This window comes from Homo sapiens, chromosome 6 (genome assembly GCF_000001405.40).
Source record: "Homo sapiens chromosome 6, GRCh38.p14 Primary Assembly".
Classification (NCBI taxonomy): Eukaryota; Metazoa; Chordata; class Mammalia; order Primates; family Hominidae; genus Homo; species Homo sapiens.
The window spans coordinates 121,844,172-121,863,098 of NC_000006.12; the positions used below are offsets into that span (position 1 = coordinate 121,844,172).

Consider the following 18,927-nt stretch of genomic DNA (forward strand, 5'->3'; position numbering starts at 1 on the left):
GCTGGGGTGGGCGCAGGGGGATCTGTTGAATACCGTGTTGCTGTCATTGGAGTAAGAGCAAGCATCCAGAAGTTCAAGTTTGAGGGCTTTAGGAACATTAGTTCACTGTCTGTGGATGGGATTTGAGATGAGTCAGAAAAGTTGAAAGCAGTGACAAGAGTAAAAGAGTTAGGAAGAAATTTCATGAGGAAGAGTGACAATAATAACCATGATGCAGAAACAGGAAGTCCCAAACTAAAAGTTCTGTGAGTGTGGTACAAGAAAATAGACCTACCTCAGGTAGGTTATCAAAAGGTTTATGTGGCTGGTCGTGGTGGTTCATGCCTGTAATCCAAGCACGTTCAGAGGATGAAGCAGGAGGATTGCTTGAAGCCAGCAGTTCAAGACCAGCCTGGGCAGCATAGCGAGATCCCTGTCTCTGCAATAAATTTTTTTAAAGACTTTCCAGGCATATGGTGCATGCCTGTAGCCTCAGCTACTTGGGAGGCTGATGTGGGAGTATTACTTGACCCTGGAGGTTCAAGGCTGTGGTGAGCCATAATTGTGCCACTGCAGTCCAACCTAGGTTACAGGGCAAGACCCTGTCTCAAAAGAAAAGAAAATATTTTTTAAAAGTTTATGTATTTAGACTTTGCAAAAACTGAGTGTATTTGCTATTTTTTTTTTTCTGGTTTACTTTTCATAGCCTCATAAAAACAATTGACTATTTCAGATGTTCTTATAGTTTATTATGTATTTAACAGCACTTTTCATGTGTTGTTACTAAAAATCCAAACCAATGGTTTTCATTTTTGTCACCTTGAATATCAGTGAATTGAAATCTCTAAAATAGTACAGGGTGGCCGTGATCTGTAAACCAACTTGATGACAGTACCCCACCCTTCCCTTCAACAAATATGCTGTGAGCCCAGATAGAGAAACCTAGTACCTTTATTAGATAAGGCCACTAATTATAGTGAGGTAGGGCGCATTCATTCACATCCTCTGGTACTTCTGAAGAAGCAGGAGTAATGATGTGTCAGAACCGATAAAAGGTGCTCAGAAACATGTTGCCTGCTTTTTGTCCATAGGGAATACACATCTGTGACTAAAGACATATTAGACTTTCTATGAAAAACTCAAGATGCAATCTTTATAAGGAAAATTTTCACTATTAGGCTATTTGTTAATAAGTAATACACCAGAGTTTAATTTATGTATTTTTTTCTGATGTAATGTTCCAACTCTTGGAAAGGTAGTTTATGAAATTTTTAAAAAAGAAGAAGCCCAAAATATTACACTAAAAGCAGAAAATCCTTTTACATATTAAATTAATTGGCTATTTGAACAATGTCCTAGTTTTCACCATATCTGCAAGCATCTCATGATATAATATACCACAAATATCAGCAAATGTTATTCTTCTATAGAGTCTTTCTTATGTTACTACTCCTGATTATATTACCCAAAAGGAGAAAACATTTATGGTATTATTTAGCTTTTTTGTTTTTTAACATTCAATAAGCATTTAGTTAGTTTCTCCTATGTCCATTTCAATAAAGAAACTAGATTTTCCTTACTGATTTTGATTTGATTTTTTTCTACCAAACTGAGACATCTTTTAAAATTTAGCACTAAAATAAGAACAATACTTAATTTGTATTACAAATAGCAAAGATTGATGCATGTAGACCACAGAAACTTGGCTACAAAGCTAGGCTTTTGGAGCTAGTAATATGAAGTCTCTCTAATGATGTACAGGTCTTCGTGACCCGTATTTGGTTCAAACTTAGCCCTTTACAGGTGGGGGAAGGTGGGGCAAAGAGTGGGGAACAAGTCGGGTTCTATTAGCAGATTGGGGAGTGAAGGGGGTTCTAAGTGAAGTAAGTCTACCAGCTATTGCACAAATAATGAGTTTTGAATATTGCAGGGAAAACTGTGGTTATTTGTTGCAGGAAAATAAAGTACCTGCCATTTCTGCGTTTGTTTCAGGTTAAATAAATGTTTAAATATATTTTTAAGAAAGACGTGTTCATGGAAACCAGTAATTTTAATTCTACTTGAAATATCATGACATAATTTTCACTTTTTTCTTCTCAAACCCATGCTTCCCAGTTGATCTTAAATTGGGACCCCTTCCTCACAAGTTTTAAACAGGTCTAATTCATGACAGTTCATATCCATATCTGAAATTTATGGCAGCGAATCTCTATGCCAGTGGTCACTATCACATGGCTCCATTCAGTTCCCAGAAGGAAAATAGTGAGTCAAACTTCTCTAACCCCCATCAGGCTTCAGGGAGAGAGAATTTTCTCATCAAAGAGATCCTTGAGAACCCTGTTTTAAAGTCAGCTCCCGTCACTTTGAACCTACAATTTTACTACAATGCGTCTGCTAATTATCTTATACAATCATACACATTTATTTTGAGAACTGTTTCCTCTGCTTCTTCTAAGTTAATTTTCTAAAACTATTTTCTATAGAACTGGAAATAATTTGGCCAGAGGGAATTGTCAAAGCCAGTCCGTAACAATAGAGGAATGAGGTTTAGATAATTTATATTGGCCCAGGATTTACTTTTACTTATAGAAAACTTTTTAAAATTGCTTTTAAAGGCTTCTGTATTGGTCTTTTTGTTTGTTTCTCTGTTTCACTTTTGCTTTTTAATTTTTTATTTATTTATGTATTTTTTGAGATGGAGTCTCCCTCTGTCACCCAAGCTAGAGTGCAGTGGCATGATCTCAGCTCACTGCAACCTCCAGGGTTCAAGTGATGCCGGTGCCTCAGTCTCCCTTGTAGCTGGGATTACAGATGTGTGTCACCATGCTCAGCTAATGTAAACGTATGTATTTTTAGTAGAGATGGAATTTTGCCATGTTCCTCAGGCAGGTCTGAGACTCCTGAGGCTCAAGCAATCCACCCACCTTGGACTCCAAAAGTGCTGGGATTACACATGTGAGCACTGTGCCCAGCCTGCTTTTGCTTTATTAAAGACAAAAATATAAAGTTACTTTCTGAGGGATTAAGTAATACACTAGGCGTATTTAAGACATTTAGTTACTTCACTTGGTTAGTCACTCTGCAGCCACTAAAAGTACAAATCCAATGTGTAATAAGACTTTAATAAGAAGAAATAATTAATGAAAAATTAAAATTAATTTATAGCATTTAGACCAACTATAGTTGAGGCATGTCTTAATAAAGCTTCTTTTAAAAAGGGAGGGAGACCAGGTATAATGGCTCATGCCTGTAATCCCAATGCTATGATAATCCCAGCACTGTGGGAGGCCGAGGCAGAAGGATCACTTAGCCCAAGAGTCTGAGACTAGCCTGGGCAACAGAGTGAGACTGTCTCTACAAAACAATAAAAAGATTAGCTGTGCATGGTGGCATGCACCTGCAGTTCCAGCTACATGGGAGGCTGACGCACAAGGATCAGTTGAGCCTGGGAGGTCAAGGCTGCAGTGAGCTGTATTTGAGCTACTGAACTCCAGCCTGGGCAATATAATGAGATCCTGCCTCAAAAAATTAAAATAAAATAAAAAGTAAATAAAAAGGGAGAAGGTGTTATTATCAAGGCCAAAAGTAAAAATTATAGTGAGATTGATGTTCAAAGTTAATAACACCTGTAGTTTTAACATGTTCTGATGTAGGCTTTACTGTCAAGTAGTTAAAAAAAAAAGACTCAATCTCCATTTATAGGACAGTCAGTGGCCTGTGGCAATCTGTAAGGATGAGAGAGAGAAAAGAGCAGGATTAACATCTCACTCTCCCGTGGGACTGAACCATGGGACCTGCAAATCCCAAGACAGGGGGAGACTCATACAAGGTCACTTGGGATTAGGCATGCAAACTAATGGCCTTACTAATTGTTCCAAGGGGTCCTGTGATTGGGCGTGAAGCCAGCACACTTCAGCCAACAAAGCATTTCAATTAGGTACAGTCGCAATGCCAAGTTCCTTAGCAAGAGCATGTGAAAAGGCTCCTTTTGACTTTTGATCAAATCCATTTAAAATCTTTGCCATGGGACCCTGAAAATCACCCTTATAAAATATGCCTGGAATGTCTCATACCTGGGAACTAATATTATATGTTATTCTTACTATAGAGCTTACGACCAATGAATTGGTTCATAATGCTCTCAAGTAAATGGATTTCAAAACAAAACACTGCTGTAGATCAGGCTGGAGACAGGAAATCCACCCACATTTGCCAGCAATGTTAGACTATCTGCTTTTGAAGGCAGAGTCCTTGTCTTATACCTCTGTGCAGGTGCAGAGCCCAACATATGGTAGACATTTCTTGAATTGTTTTTCTGATTGTATTGATAAGATAAACAGTGGATTCCTTGAGCTTGTAAAATATGCCTCAAACAAATAGGTGGTTTACGGTTTGGAAGACTCTTTTCTACTCTATTTTCTTGGCTACCCATGGTGAGACTTGAAATATTTGTGCTTTTAGGATAGCAGAAGAGATTTTTTCCTACCCTGGGAAATCCAGCCCAGTGGCAGTGTGCCGGCTTCGTGGTGGTTGTCTAATCCCTCCTGCTTTGGAACACTCATTTGTGCGAGATGTGAAGTCTCCTGCCTTGGATCTGATCATAGAACTATGGAGAAGGGCTTTCACTTCAGTACACTTTATTTTCTTTTCAAGTGTAAGAAAAACAAGGTTGGACCCACACGTAGTCCTGGATACTTTGTTTTCAGCTCTTATTTGTCTTTTCTATTGCATTTTTGGTGACAATAGTGATTCACAACCAAAAGAAGGATTCAGATTTATTCTCTTCAAGAGGGATACTCCCATAATTTCAACTCTGCTGAGGTAGATACAATAAGGGAAGTTAAAGAACCCCAAAGCAAAAGAGTTAGGACAGACTGCGCAATTTCTGTGGCCTGTGCACACAATCATCTGCCTGTTCTGCCAAGCTCCCCTATGTGGAATCAAACAAGTCTTCAGAGAAAGGAATTCAATTTGTTGTTTTTCTGGTGAGGAATGCAGGAATTTAGGAGACATTGAACACTTACATCTTAACCATGAAAGTTTGGAGAATGTAACCTGGAAAAATATACTTTTATAAATTTAAACAATATTTGCAAATTCAAATTCCTATATAGACCAACAAGGTAAGAAACAAATTTGTGAAGTGGGGCAGGTATTAGATGAAAGAAGTGTTAGGGCTGTGGCAGAGTGGTACATTTATGCCTGTTCCAAAGTTATTCAAATTATTGAACGTACGCACACACCTTGGGCCAAACATTTCAGTGGCTATATATAGTTTTTTGGCCATTACTTTAACCCATAGATCCTATCTGGAATTTTGTTTAGGTTGTCCATGTTAGGAAAGTTTTTCCACGTGGGACTTAAGCCTAGATCCGCTTACTGTCATGTGACATTTAAAGAGAGGTATGATTTCAAAAGAACTAAAGATTGAGCTATGTGGAAGCAGGGCCTTCTTAGCCCTTCCTAATTCACCCAAAGCTCGATCTGCTACTACAATGACCCAGTGAGGACTGTGTCTGGACCCTCATTCAGTATTCCTCTCCTTGAGCTCCCCCTAGAGGTCAGAGTCCTCCATTAACAGGCCCCCTGCTGTTACTCAGTATCTTCTGAAAGGTGAGATAAATACGCTGGAATAGGAGTGGTACTGGTGTTGCTGATGCTAAGAAAAGAACAATCAAAGGAGAACTAAGAACAATATTTATATATATTTATTCCTCACGTCTTGTTCAATAAATATTGAGGGCATACTACATGCATGAAATTATGATAGGTGTTCTGGAAAATGCAAAAATCACCAATACAATACCTCGCTCTTTGGGGAAACTAAAAGCCCGCATAAAGCAACCATTCTTTCTTCCATCTTAACCATTCGTTCTGACGTCTTACAATTATCTTTCACTAATTTTTCTACTATGTACTTCTTAAGTAATGACGTTCTTAAGAATTCTTTTCGAACTTTCTTTCCTCATTTTACAGACCTTTATTTAGGTACACCTGTTCTTTCTTCTGGTTTCAGTTACCACCTATTTTCTGAAGATTTTCACCTTTATAGCTCTATATCTCTAGACTGCACCCTTCCTGAGTGACAGACTTAAGCTCACAATTTTCTGCTGGAATTCTCCTTTAGAATATTTCAAAGTCAATTCGAATCCAACATATCCCAATGAAAATTCAAGGCCATAAGTATTTGGTGCCATATGTGCAATACTAGCAATAAGTGCTATGAATCTAGATCACTTTGAGCTGAGATGCCTGGGAAAGTCTTATGGCAGAGGTAGACATGGGCAAGACTTCAACAAGGGATTGTTATTGGGCAACACTGAACAAAATCAGGAGCACACCTACCATTGTTTCTTTTCTTTCTTTGTTTCTTTCTTTTTCTTTCTTGCTTTTTTTTTTGGAGACAAAATCTCACTCTGTCACCCAGGCTGGAGTGTAGTGGTGCAATCACAGCTCACTGTAGCCTTAACTTCCTGGGCTCAAAAGATTATCCTGCCTTAGCCTCCTCAGTATCTGGGACTACAGGCCAGTGCAGCCACACCTTGATAATTTTTAAATTTTCTGTAGAGATGAGGTCTCACTTATTGCCTAGGCTGGTCTCGATCTCCTGGTCTCAAGAAATCCTCCTGCCTTGGCCTCCCTAAGTGCTGGGATTACAGGCATGAGCCACAGTGCACAGCCTTATCCCAATACTTTGGAGGTTCAAGCTCAGTTTTGACCTCTATTACAATCCATATATATATATATTTTTTTTTTTTTTTTAAAGCGGAAACTTCCCTCTTGGCAATCTTTTTCATTCTGTCTGTTTTATTTTTCCTCTTCTAATTGAGGAGATTGGAGATTGAAGACCAGATAAGCAGAAGTCCCAGCCATATTCAGCTCACCTCAAAAGTATACATATTTTCCAAACATTTGTAGATTCCTTGATGCCTGGAAACCGAAAAGGACAATCCTGAATCCCAGTTGAGAGGCAGCTTTTGAATGCCAGGCATTTTCTTTATTCACTCTCCCTCCACTTAAGAGTGTGGCTCTGGCTCTGCCTTTGTTTCAGCCAGTAGCTGAATGCAGCCTCTCAGGCTCACAGCACTGCCCTGTAGTCCTCTGAAAGGATTGCTGTTCTTTCTCTTCCCTCCCTAGCAGTGTGGCACTTCCAGCTTAAGCAACTCTCAGCCCAACTGAACTCTTTTATAATCCCACCAGGCAAGCTCTTTTGATACTTATTTCAAAATAAAATAGATGTTTTCTTCTTTATATCTTATGCAATGTTGTTTAGAAGGAACACGGAGAGGATTTTCTGTTCCCTGAGTAATCACAGTAGTTGCTTTTCTTCCTAGAATTGTAGATAATTAAGAACATGATTTTTTTTTTTTTTTTTTTTTTTTAGTGTACGACTAGGTACACCATGAAAATCTTAGCTGTGTTGTACTTTTTCATGAGAAAAAAAGTATCCTTTTTACTGTGATAGCCTCGGGGTAAAATAAGTTATACTATCACAGCTTACAAAAAAGGCAATATAGTTGTGAAAATTCACTAGAAAACAAGAGGCTCTATTAAAGAGTTCTAATATCTTGTGGTTTTTCCTTCCACAATGACAGTTATTAAAATTTTTTAAATTTTATTTATTTTTTTGTAGCCTCTTTATAGAAAACTGTCCATTTCATTTATCAACCAGAGTTATGAAAGAGATCTTTTATAATTGCATCTACTGAAGTTAATTAGGCATATTATATATCATGGCTTGTTTACCATAATACTGGCTTTATTCTTGATTGAAGTGTTATTTGGTGAGTCTGTTTAATGAAGGGTTATGTGTTTTCTTTTGTAATTCTAAAAGTCACAAAAAATTTAGCCCAGATGAATAAATGAAGTTAAGAAGCATTTGAAGAAAGAAAGGAAGTCTCCCAATTTTTGCTAGTTTATTAAGCTAGTGCTTGCATTGGAAAGTAGTGAAAAATCTGTTTTGTTTTTAAAGGCAAAACTAGGCAAAATCGCACTTGGCTTAGGTTTTGATGGGATAGTCATTTGGCTTTTAAAAATGCATCCTACAGATACAAGAGCATGCACAGACTAGGAACCGGCATGACTTGTTTCAAAGTTAAGGACACAAATATGGTTATAATATAGTCATCTCCACCCTACCTCCACCAATCAATCATTTACTCCCCTGTACCTCTTTTTAGAAAACAAAACAAAACAAAATAAAATGATATCTTTCTTTAAGACCCAACTTCGCTTTCCCTGCTAGGCAAAAAAAAGAAGAAGAAGAAAAAAAACAAAAACAAAAAAAACAAAAAAAAAGAAGAAGAAGAAAAATCCAAGAACCCTAGGAAGGGTGACACTTGTCCTGATTCCAACACTAAACAGAAAGGAAACTATCTGCCCAATTAGACTGCTTCTGCCATTGCTGTTCCCTGGCACACAATGTTGATGTTAAGACCTGAGCCTGCAGATTGATGGACAGTGGGTGTGTGCCATCGCTGAGGTATTCTCGCTGTTATATATACATGCCAGGCCATAGGGGTGTCCTGTATTATGTGCCAAGGTGATAGCTCTTTTTAGTTCATACCACCATGCTCCGCTACTGTTGCTGAAAGCACATAAAATGGGAGGAAAGAGTATTTCAGAGGTGTAAAATAGCATGTGTTACACTTCGAGACAGAAGAGGTATGGTCATGTCTAGACAGAGAAATACACTGGAAAACATCACTTTCTAACAGTGGATAACTTTGGACTATAGGATCATAGATGACTTTGTTTCAACTTTCTTAGTCTTCTGCAAGAAAACCACATTACCTTATTATTTAAAAATGTTTTAGTACCCAAAGGAGTAAAAAATCAGTGACAGAGGAAAAAAACAAAACCTAGAAGTGATATTATTTTTATTTTTATTATTATTATTATTTTTGAGATAGGTTCTCACTGTCACCCAGGCTGGAGTGCAGTGGCCCAATCATAGCACTGCAGCCTTGAACTCCTGTCTTCAAACAATCCTCCCACCTCAGCCTCCTGAGTAGCTGGGACTACAGGAACACACCATCATGAATAGCTAATTTTTAATTTTAATTTTTTTATGGAGAGATGGAGTCTCCCTATGTTTTCCAGGCTGGTCTTGAACTCCTGAGCTCAAGTGGTCCTCCCACCTCAGCCTTCCAAAGTTTTGCGATTATAGGCGTGAACCACTGTGTCCAGCTAGTAATATTTTAAAAAGTGTTATGGAGCAGTACTCAAGCTGTATAAGAAGAGGAAAATGAAAAAATGAATTCATCAGATTTAAGGAAAACATTGATGTAGGAATCCAGTTTTCAAATAAAGCCTGGATCTGGGTACTGGCAGATTCTGTGGAGAAGGTTATAGAGAAATAAGAAAGAATGTAGGGCTGAATTCAGCATGGAAGCTTTTCTCACCTGTTTTTTCTATCTCAAAGGTGCCACCCACAGAGATGCCTGAGAATTTTCCTTAGTCCTTCACTCCATTCTATTTCAGGATTTAGCTTTATGTCTTTGTTTTCCTGCATCTTGAATGTGATATATCAAAGTATAAATATTTTTATGCTCATCCTGGTTGGTGTCCTCTGAACTTCTTGGATCTGTTGTTTTGTGACTTTGAGGGGAGACAACCGTCTTGCCCTGCTCAGGTGCAACAGCAGATAACATGCAGATTATCAACTAAAGTAACTAGAATCAGTCATTAACTATGCCCCTTGTCCTTCTTCCTATCTCCTTTTGGCTTTATTGCTATTAAGGCATAGTAAAACCAACAGACCAGGAGATAACTGCCATTGAAAAGGTAGTTTATTATACTCTCAGATCCCAAGAGAAGGAGTACAGGTCATGCCACAGAGGCCGCATAGGGAAGCGCCAGGGTTGGTCCCAAAGCAGAGGGAGAGGGGAAAACTGGTGCCCACGAGCCTTCACCATAGTTTCTATGGGGAAAATGGGCAAGGCAGGGCAATCAGGCTTAGAATGGGAGAGCTTGAAAATTCCAGCAAGTTCTGGGGTATGGGGGTTGTCCCTAGTTGTCTGGCATCTAGCCCTGGGGTGAATTTCAGCAGGTGTATAGTGGCTTGGAGTGTGAGATAAGGGAGGTGGTTGAGGGTATAGACTCTGAATTGGTTCATTTGTATTTGAATAGTGTGCCACTGGGGAGGAGAAACCCCTTTGACAAGAGCGGGGACAAAGGAGGCAGGAGGCTAAGGCAAGATGACTCAGGCATATTATCAGGTTGTCCAGAATTTGATGTATCTGGCATATGCATGTAGGATAGATAAAGCATCAAGCTTACAGAAGCAGGCGACATGGTTAATATACCCTTCTCCCTCTCATCCTCTTTCTCTCTCCCTCTGGCTTTCATACCCCTGTGAAGAGGCTTATGACAAAGGTCCAGTGTACTTTGCTAATGCGTGGTGGGTGGAGAGCAGTGGGAGAGTTGAAAATGGGATGGGGGCAACAGGATGAATCTCCACTCTTGGGTGCCTCACAGCATCCCCAGTTACCTAAAGAACTTCACTTTACTGAAGAAGTCTTTTGTGTGTAAAATCATAGCTAAGGAAGATGTATCATTAAACTAGTGATAGCTGTGTTATCAAAAATTACCCTAATAATAATGAATAATTTTAAAATTATTAAAATGCCTTTATGAATAATTTTTACTCCAAATTTGAATACTTATTAAGCTATGTATGTGTATATATATGGTTTAGAAAATACATATTTAGAAAATATAAACTATATATTTTACAATCTTGATTTGTATATTAAAAATATAAACCCTATATTGTATGTTTTATATTACAAATATATTTATATATGAGATATTACAAATGTTATAAGAATATAAGTGACAATGCATTTATTACACATGGCATTGACCATTCTTACCAACCTCGAACTTTCTAAATCACGAGTCTCCTTCAAAACCTATTTAAAGTTCCACATCCTTGGGGAACTTGGGAGTAAGCCTTGCTCCCTAACAGGCTAATCCTGCCCATGGTATTGCAGCACTGATTACACTTGCTAATCTACCCCAGGTTATGGCCAGTCCTGGCCACTGGACTGCCACAGTGTTCTCCAAATAAAGGCTTTTTCCTGAATATTTCTGATAAGAATACTCCTAAACCTGAGTTTTTATCTTGAGTGTCATTATCTCTGTCCTCCAACTCCCCATGTCCTCACATTCTGTATGCTCAATTCAAGATACTAGAATTCTATCTTGACCTATGTTTTGAGTTTTTGCAATGTTATCCTGCCTTGCTGCTTAGACCTGCTGAAGGGTTTCTGCCAGTACAGAAGCCCAGTCTTTGTACATTATAGATTTCCTAGATGGTGATGACAAGCCTGTCTCTACTGCCAAGTATCTCCTTCTACTGTTATTGATGTGTCCTGCCACCCCAAAGCTGCAATTTACTAACAGATGAGTCTATTTCTAAATCCCGGACATTATCTTAAATTAAACCTTACCTTGAGTAACTAGCCATGCCTAGATGATGAGTTATAAAATAATATACTAAGCATTCCAGCTAGTTTTGCTCTCTTCTCACACACTTTATATCAAACACATTAACTTGTTTTGCAGCCAACTGGATTCGGGGAATCACTTCTCCTGTTACATTCGGAGGAGCCGTACTTCCTCCTGTCTACAATTCATCCTTCCACTTGAGCTTTGAATTCTCCCTGCTCCCTGCTTCTGAGATCTCTCACATGTGATTATTTGATAAATGTCTACCTCCCACAGTAGGCTGTAATTTGTAGATCAGTGATCTTATTCTATTTTTGATTCCTATTGCACCCCTAATGCCTGGTAGACTGCCTGGCACATAGTAAGTGCTCAATAAATATCTGTTGAATAAACAAATGAAAATGCTAAGGCCCTTGAAGTATGGGACTGTATAATGTAAACTCCATCTTAGAATCTACTGTCATGTTACTCAGACTCTCAAAATATATGTAAATGATGAATGAAGACACTCTTGAAGAAATATGTAATTTAATGCTATGTTAGAATTCATAGGCTTCAGAAGATTAATCTTCAATTTCAGAGAAAAGTATTCTGCATAGAAGTTTAGACCTAAATAAAAGAGGACATATCCCTAGATAAAAGTTCAGACTAGCTGTCAATGATATGGTGCATTCCTAGGCTCATTTTGATGGTCAATATCCACATTCCTTTTTTGAAATCTGTTTAAATAATTTTCTCCTTTTCATATGGGCAAGAAAACAGAATTGGTTTGATCAAAAGACTCAATGCAGTTTCTAACCATTGCACAAGCCAACAAAAGGCTCACTCTGTGTTCATTTTTGGGTTAGTCCACATCTCCATCATTTATTATGGAATGTAACTGGTATTTCCTGCTTTCACAAAGAAACATAAACCCCAGTTGAAATGTCAAGAACTCAAAAGGATGGGGCTGTGTTCTCTCCATTCGTAAAACAAGGAATCCTCCCTCCGCAAAAATCCCAAATAAGACCTGAGGGCCTAACAACAGCAGTCCCAGTTCTGTTTGCTCTGTAGCAGTGCTGTCCAGTAGAAACTTAATGCCAGTTTCTTAAATATAAGCCACATGTGTAATTTAAAATTTTCTAGTATCCACATTTAAAAAAAGGTAAGAGAAATGTTGAAAATAGTTTTAGTAATGTATTATTAAAATGTAATGCTGTTTATTTAATTTTAAAAATATTTCAGCATTCTAAACATACAAAAAAACAGAGTGTTGGAGATCATGTTTAAGTACAGAAGGTTCTTGAACTTTCATTGATGCAGTGGCTCTTCGCTTTGTTGACAATGAAATGTTCTACACTTTCTTTAAAAACAAATGGTTTAAAAACTACCACACTTAACTGAAAAAAAAGCAAAAACAAAAAGTAAATACTTTTCAAGCCAGCTGACCACCTTTTGTTCACAGCTAGGAATGGTAGCAGAATGCTATGTGGTTAGATACAGAAACAAGACAACCTGAAGCTAAATGGATGCCCAGTGCATAGTCAACAGGCCCAGCCTCACAGTGCACAGCCTGAGCTACGGCCACTCCCAGAGGCATCTTCTACCACAGCCTCAACATCAAGCAAAGAGCATCAAGAGTTTGTCTTGGTTGTTTTGTTCGTTTTACAAACTATGGATATATGCAATTGATAACTCAGGATTTCTAGCTAATAACCATGTAGTTAACACTACCTTACAAATTAAAAAAAAAAAAATGCCAGAAGCACCTTTAAATGCCTTATCACACTAACAGCAAAGCACACAGAGTGAGGAGAGCATGAAGTTGCCTTTTCATTTTAAAAATATTTGGAAATATGTACAACTTTGATATAGTTTCAGGGTGCTCTAGACCCACTTGACCACTTCATGTAAAGAGTTTCTAGTTTGAGAAACAACAATATGATCATAATCAAACTTTGTAATTAAAACTAATGAGGGCAACAGATACTTCTCAAATAAGAGATGTGTCAATTACAGCTCTCCCCTACTTCAAGGCAGGTGTCCCCAACCCCTGGGCCATAGATAGATACCAGTCAGTGGCCTGTTAGGAACCAGGCCACACAGCAGGAGGTGAGTGGCAAGTGAGCAAAGCTTCATCTGTATTTACAACCACTCCCCATGGCTCACATTACCATCTGAGCTCCGCCTCCTGTCAGATCAGCAGCAGCTCTCATAGGAGAGCAAACCCTGTTGTAAACTGTGCATACGAGGGATCTAGTTTACCTGCTTCTTATGAGAATCTAACTAATGCCTGATGATCTGTCACTGCCTCCCATCACCCCCAGAAAGACTGTCTAGTTGAAGGAAAACAAGCTCTGGGCTCCCACTGATTCTACGTTATGGTGAGTCATATAATTATTTCATTATATATTACAATGTAATAATAATAGAAATAAAGTGCACAATAAATGTACTGTGCGTGAATCATCCCAAAGACCATCTCCCAACCCATCCATGGAAAAACTGTCCCACAAAACTGGTCCCTGGTTCCAAAAAGGTTGGAGACTGTTGCTCTAAGGTATTCACAAGGAGACAAACAGTTTTTTAAATTTTTTACTCCTCTCCCTCCTCCTTATTTTCCATCCTCCTCATTTTCTTTGTTGTCCTCTTCCACCTTTTTCCAGGCAACTTTAGTGGAACCCTTTGGGCCATCAAACTTTCCTTTAGACTTACAGTCAGCAACATCCTTCTCATACTTCTTCAGCTGTGCCACCTTAGTGATGTAAGGCTGCTTTTCACTGTCATTTAAGTTATTCCACATCTCACCCAGCTTTTTGACATGTCTCCAATAGAGATGTCAGGGTTTGTGGATTTGATCTTGTGGCAGAATTCTGAATAGAAAAGGAAGAATCCAGATGGTGGCCTTTTGGGGGCGTTAGGGTTCTTCTTCTTGCCTCCCTTAGCTGGTTCTTAATTCTTTATCTCCCAATCATAGTGTACTTATCTGCCTTCGCCATTTCGTCAAATTTAGACTTCTCTTTCCCAGACATCGTCTTCCACCTCTCAGAGCAATTCTTGGAAAATTCTGTAAAATTAATAGGGAACTCTAGATTTTTCTTTTTATGTTCTTCTCTGCCCATCTGCACAAAGAAGGCATAGGCAGACATCTTGCCCTTTGGTTCCTTCGGGTCAACTTTATCCATCCTGAGTGTATTGTTCCAATATATTTTATTTAGCTTAAAATATCAAAACAGTCATTTCAACATGTAATCAATATGAAAATTATTGAGATATTTTACATGTTTTTCCTATACTAAGTCTTTGCAATCTGATGTGTACTTTACACTTCAATTCAAACTAGCCAAAATTTGAGAGCTTAATCGCAGGGTGTGGCTAATGGTTACACATTGGGCAGCAATTGTTTCCCATACAATTGAGAGAGATGTCCACATTTATTTCTACTGCAGCAATTGGTACCATAATGAGGAAAGGCCAGCTGTTGAAATCTCTGTAAAGTTTTAATAGATTCAGTAAGTAAGATCTAACCAAGTGCTTGAGTTCTCTCCAAGCCTCTGCTCACTGCAGCTGCAGTTGCTAGATTAAGCTCAGCTTTGATACAATGTGACTGGGTTCATGCTGCTGCTCTTATTGCTGCCATCATTATACAACCTTGTCCAGGCTCACTGTGGCCAGACACAGGAAGAACTCTTTTTCCTTTCATGTCAAGTACAGCCAAGTGTGCTTAAGCCAAAACTGACTCGACATCTCAGTCCTACAGCTTTTGTCAGATTCACTCACATGTATACTTTCTGTTTTTCTTACTCTGGGTAACTCTAACGATCAGAAAGCATCCTTCTAGGCCAAGTACCTATAAATGCTAATAATAATAATAAGTAACAAGTAGCTATAAATGCTAGAATAATATATATATAAATTTTTAAATTTATTTTTTTGAGACAGGGTCTCACTGTTGCCCAGGCTAGAATGCAGTGGTGTGGTTATAGCCCACTGCAGCCTCAAATTCCTGTAGTCCAACAATCCTCCCTCCCACCTCAGTCTCCTGAGTAGCAGGGACCACAGGTGCACAGCACCATGTCTGGCTAATTTTTTAATTTTTTGTAGAGATGGGGTCTCTCTATGTTGCCCAGGATGTTTTTGAGCTCCTGGACTCAAGCAATCCTTCTGCCTTGGCCTCTCAAAGTGTTGGGAATACAGGTGTGAGCCACCCCACCACAGCCAGCTGAATATTTTTTTTTTTTTTGAGATGAAGTCTTGCTCCTGTCACCCAGGCTGGAGTGCAATGGCACGATCTTGGCTCACTGCAACCTCCGTCTCCCAGGTTTAAGTGATTCTCCTGCCTCAGCCTCCTGAGTAGTTGGGATTACAAGTGCATGACACCACCCCTGGCTAATTTTTGTATTTTTAGTAGAGACAGGGTTTTACCATGTTGGCCAGGCTGGTCTCAAACTCCTGACTTCAGGCGATCCGCCCACCTTGGCCTCCCAAAGTGCTGGGATTACAGGCATGCATGTGCCACCGCACCTGGCCCTGAATAATATTTTTTAAATAAGGTTTTAACAGACAGGACAAATAAAATTGTGGAGAATTAATAAACCAAGCTTTAGTGTCATGAGAATAGCATAAGTTTTCTTAAATTTTCTTATGTAGTAAATCACAAAGATTATACTGTGGATTCTGATAATTTCCAGCTCATCTTTACTAGAGAGTGATTGATAGTAGATCTAACCTAAGATGATTTTGTTGATTTTTCAAATTGTGTTGCCTGGACCTAATGCATCTGCAGAGCCTGCTGCTGGGGGCCCTGGGGCAGAGGAGAGAGGCAGGTGTGGATAAAGGGTAGCAGGCAGCAGGGCATTGGCTTCTCATTCTCTTCTTCCCAAACCTCCACCATTGTCTTCCATTGTTTTTCTTTCAATGCTTCTGGGCAAGATCCGGTATGGATAAATGGTTTCTGTGCCCAATTTTTAAAAGCCCACCTACCTAAGGGAATTGTCTCTGTTTTGATTCAGTCTGCATATTTTTTGTGCTCCCCATATTACATTTTTATCCTGCCATCTGTGCTGAGATGTCCACTTTTTCCTTAGAGGCTTTACTACTAAGTACTGTCTTTGCTTGTGCAACTGTTCAAAGAAAAATCTTTCAGTACCACATCTTTTAAGCTCATTTTTATTGTGGTTTTTTTTTTTTTTTTTGGCTTTCTGTTAATTTAAGTAATATTCTTACTGTGGGGGAAGAAACTAAATAGAAAAAAGGACATAAAAGTCATCCATAATCACATCACACAGAGATAAAAATGTTAACATTTTGAAAATTTCCTCCTGAATTTTAGTTCATGTGTATTTTAAACTAAATTTGAATCATCTTTTATGTGTTTTTCATTATTGTGATCTTGTGTCTATTTCATTAAAGCATAATCATTATTAACTTTAAAATTCTTTTTTTTAATTTTTAAAATTATACTTTTGTCAATTTTGGCTTCTGTTGCCATTGCTTTTGGTGTTTTAGTAATGAAGTCTTTGCCCATGCCTATGTCCTGAATGGTATTGCCTAATTTTTCTTGTAGGGTTTTTATGGGTTTTGGTCTACATTTAAGTCTTTAATCCATCTTTAATCCATCTTGAGTTAATTTTTTGTATAAGATGTAAGGAAAGGATCCAGTTTCAGCTTTCTGCATATGGCTAGCCAGTTTTCCCAACACCATTTATTAAATACAGAATCCTTTCCCTATTGCTTGTTTTGGTCAGGTTTGTCAAAAATCAGATGTTGGTAGATGTGTGACATTGTTTCTGAGGCCTCTATTCTGTTCCATTGATCTGTATATCTGTTTGGTACCAATACCATGCTGTTTTGGTTACTGTAGCATTGTAGTATAGTTTGAAGTCAGGTAGTGTGATGACTGCAGCTTTGTTTTTTGCTTAGGATTGTCTTGATTATGCAGGCTCTTTTTTGGTTCCATATAAAATGTAAAGTAGTTTTTTCCAATTCTGTGAAGAATGTCAATGGTAGCTTGATGGGGATAGCATTGAATCTATAAATTACTTTGGGCAGTATGGCCATTTCCATGATACTGATTCTTCCTATCCATCAACATGGAATGTTTTTCCATTTGTTTGTGTCCTCTCTTCTTTCCGTGAGCAGTGGTTTGTAGTTCTCCTTGGATAGGTCCTTCATATCCCTTGTAAGTTGTATTCCTAGGTGTTTTATTCTCTTTGTACCAATTGTGAATGGGAGTTCACTCATGATTTGGCTCTCTGTTTGTCTATTTTTGGTGTATAGGAATGCTTGTGATTGTTTGCACATTGATTTTGTATCCTGAGACTTTGCTGCAAGTTGTTTATCTGCTTGAGAAGATTATGGGCTGAGACCTTGGGGTTTTCTAAATATACAATCATGTCATCTGCAAACAGAGACAATTTGACTTCCTCTTTTCCTAATTGAATATTCTTTATTTCTTTATCTTGCCTGATTGCCCTTGCCAGAACTTCCAACACTATGTTGAATAGGAGTGGTGAGAAGGGGCATCCTTGTGCCGGTTTTCAAAGGGAATCCAGTTTTTGCCCATTCGGTATGATACTGGCTGTGGGTTTGTCATAAATAGCTCTTATTATTTTGGGATACATTCCATCACTGCCTAGTTTGTTGAGAGTTTTTAGCATGAAGGGCAGTTGAATTTTATCAAAGGCCTTTTCTGCATCTATTGAGATAATCGTGTGGTTTTTGTCATTGGTTCTGCTTATCTGATGGATTACGTTTATTGATTTGCATATGTTGAACCAGCCTTGCATCCCAGAGATGAAGCTGACTTGATTGTGGTGGATAAGCTTTTTGCTGTGTTGCTGGATTATCTTTACCAGTATTTTACTGAGGATTTTCACATCGATTTCATCAGGGATATTGGCCTGAAATTTTCCTTTTTTGTTGTGTCTCTGCCAGGTTTTGGTATCAGGATGATGCTGGCCTCATAAAATGAGTTAGGGAGGAGTCCTTCTTTTTCTGTGGTTTGGAATAGTTTTAGAAAGAATGGTACCATCTCCTCTTTGTATCTCCAGTAGAATTCGGCTGTGACTCTGTCTGGTCCTGGACTATATTTGGTTGGTAGCTATTAATTGCTGCCTCTATTTCAGAACTTGTTTTTGGCCTTCTCAGGGATTCTTCTTCTTCCCGGTTTAGTTTTGGGAGGGTATATGAGTCCAGTAATTTATCCATTTTTTTCTAGATTTTCTAGCTTATTTGCATAGAGGTGTTTATAGTATTCTCTGATGATAGTTTGTATTTCTGTGGGATTGGTGGTGATATCCCCTTTATCATTTTTAATTGCATCTATTTGATTATTCTCTCTTGTTTTCTTTATTGGTCTGGCTAGTGGTCTATCTATTTTGTTGATCTTTTCAAAAAACCAGCTCCTGGATTCATTGATTTTTGGAAGGGTCTTTCATGTCTCTATCTCCTTCAGTTCTGCTCTGATCTTAGGTATTTCTTGTCTTCTGCTAGCTTTTGATTTTGTTTGTGCTT

At 38.4% G+C, this 18,927-nt stretch overlaps 1 long non-coding RNA gene and 1 pseudogene across 7 annotated transcripts in view, besides 1 other annotated feature; one reads left to right on the top strand and one right to left on the bottom strand.

Annotated features, from left to right (window-relative positions):
• Positions 1–18,927, top strand: part of LOC105377979 (uncharacterized) — a 288,164-nt gene that overhangs the window by 76,793 nt on the left and 192,444 nt on the right. For 5 of the 7 annotated variants that reach the window (XR_001744323.2, XR_001744324.2, XR_001744321.2 and 2 more), the window contains exon 1: positions 13,609–13,796. The exons of 1 other annotated variant lie outside the window; for it this stretch is intronic. This is a non-coding gene — a long non-coding RNA (uncharacterized LOC105377979). Of the gene's footprint in view, positions 1–13,608; positions 13,797–18,927 lie in introns of those variants that run through there. One more of the 7 variants, XR_942936.3, reaches the window with a different exon arrangement.
• Positions 5,352–5,646: a silencer, noted in NCBI's record as "tiled region #15426; HepG2 Repressive non-DNase unmatched - State 12:CtcfO, and K562 Repressive DNase unmatched - State 12:CtcfO". NCBI's record gives its function as "represses a minimal TATA promoter and a strong SV40 promoter by Sharpr-MPRA in HepG2 and K562 cells {active_cell/tissue: HepG2 | K562}" and the evidence as "EXISTENCE:reporter gene assay evidence [ECO:0000049][PMID:27701403]".
• Positions 13,966–14,613, bottom strand: HMGB3P18 (high mobility group box 3 pseudogene 18; annotated as a pseudogene).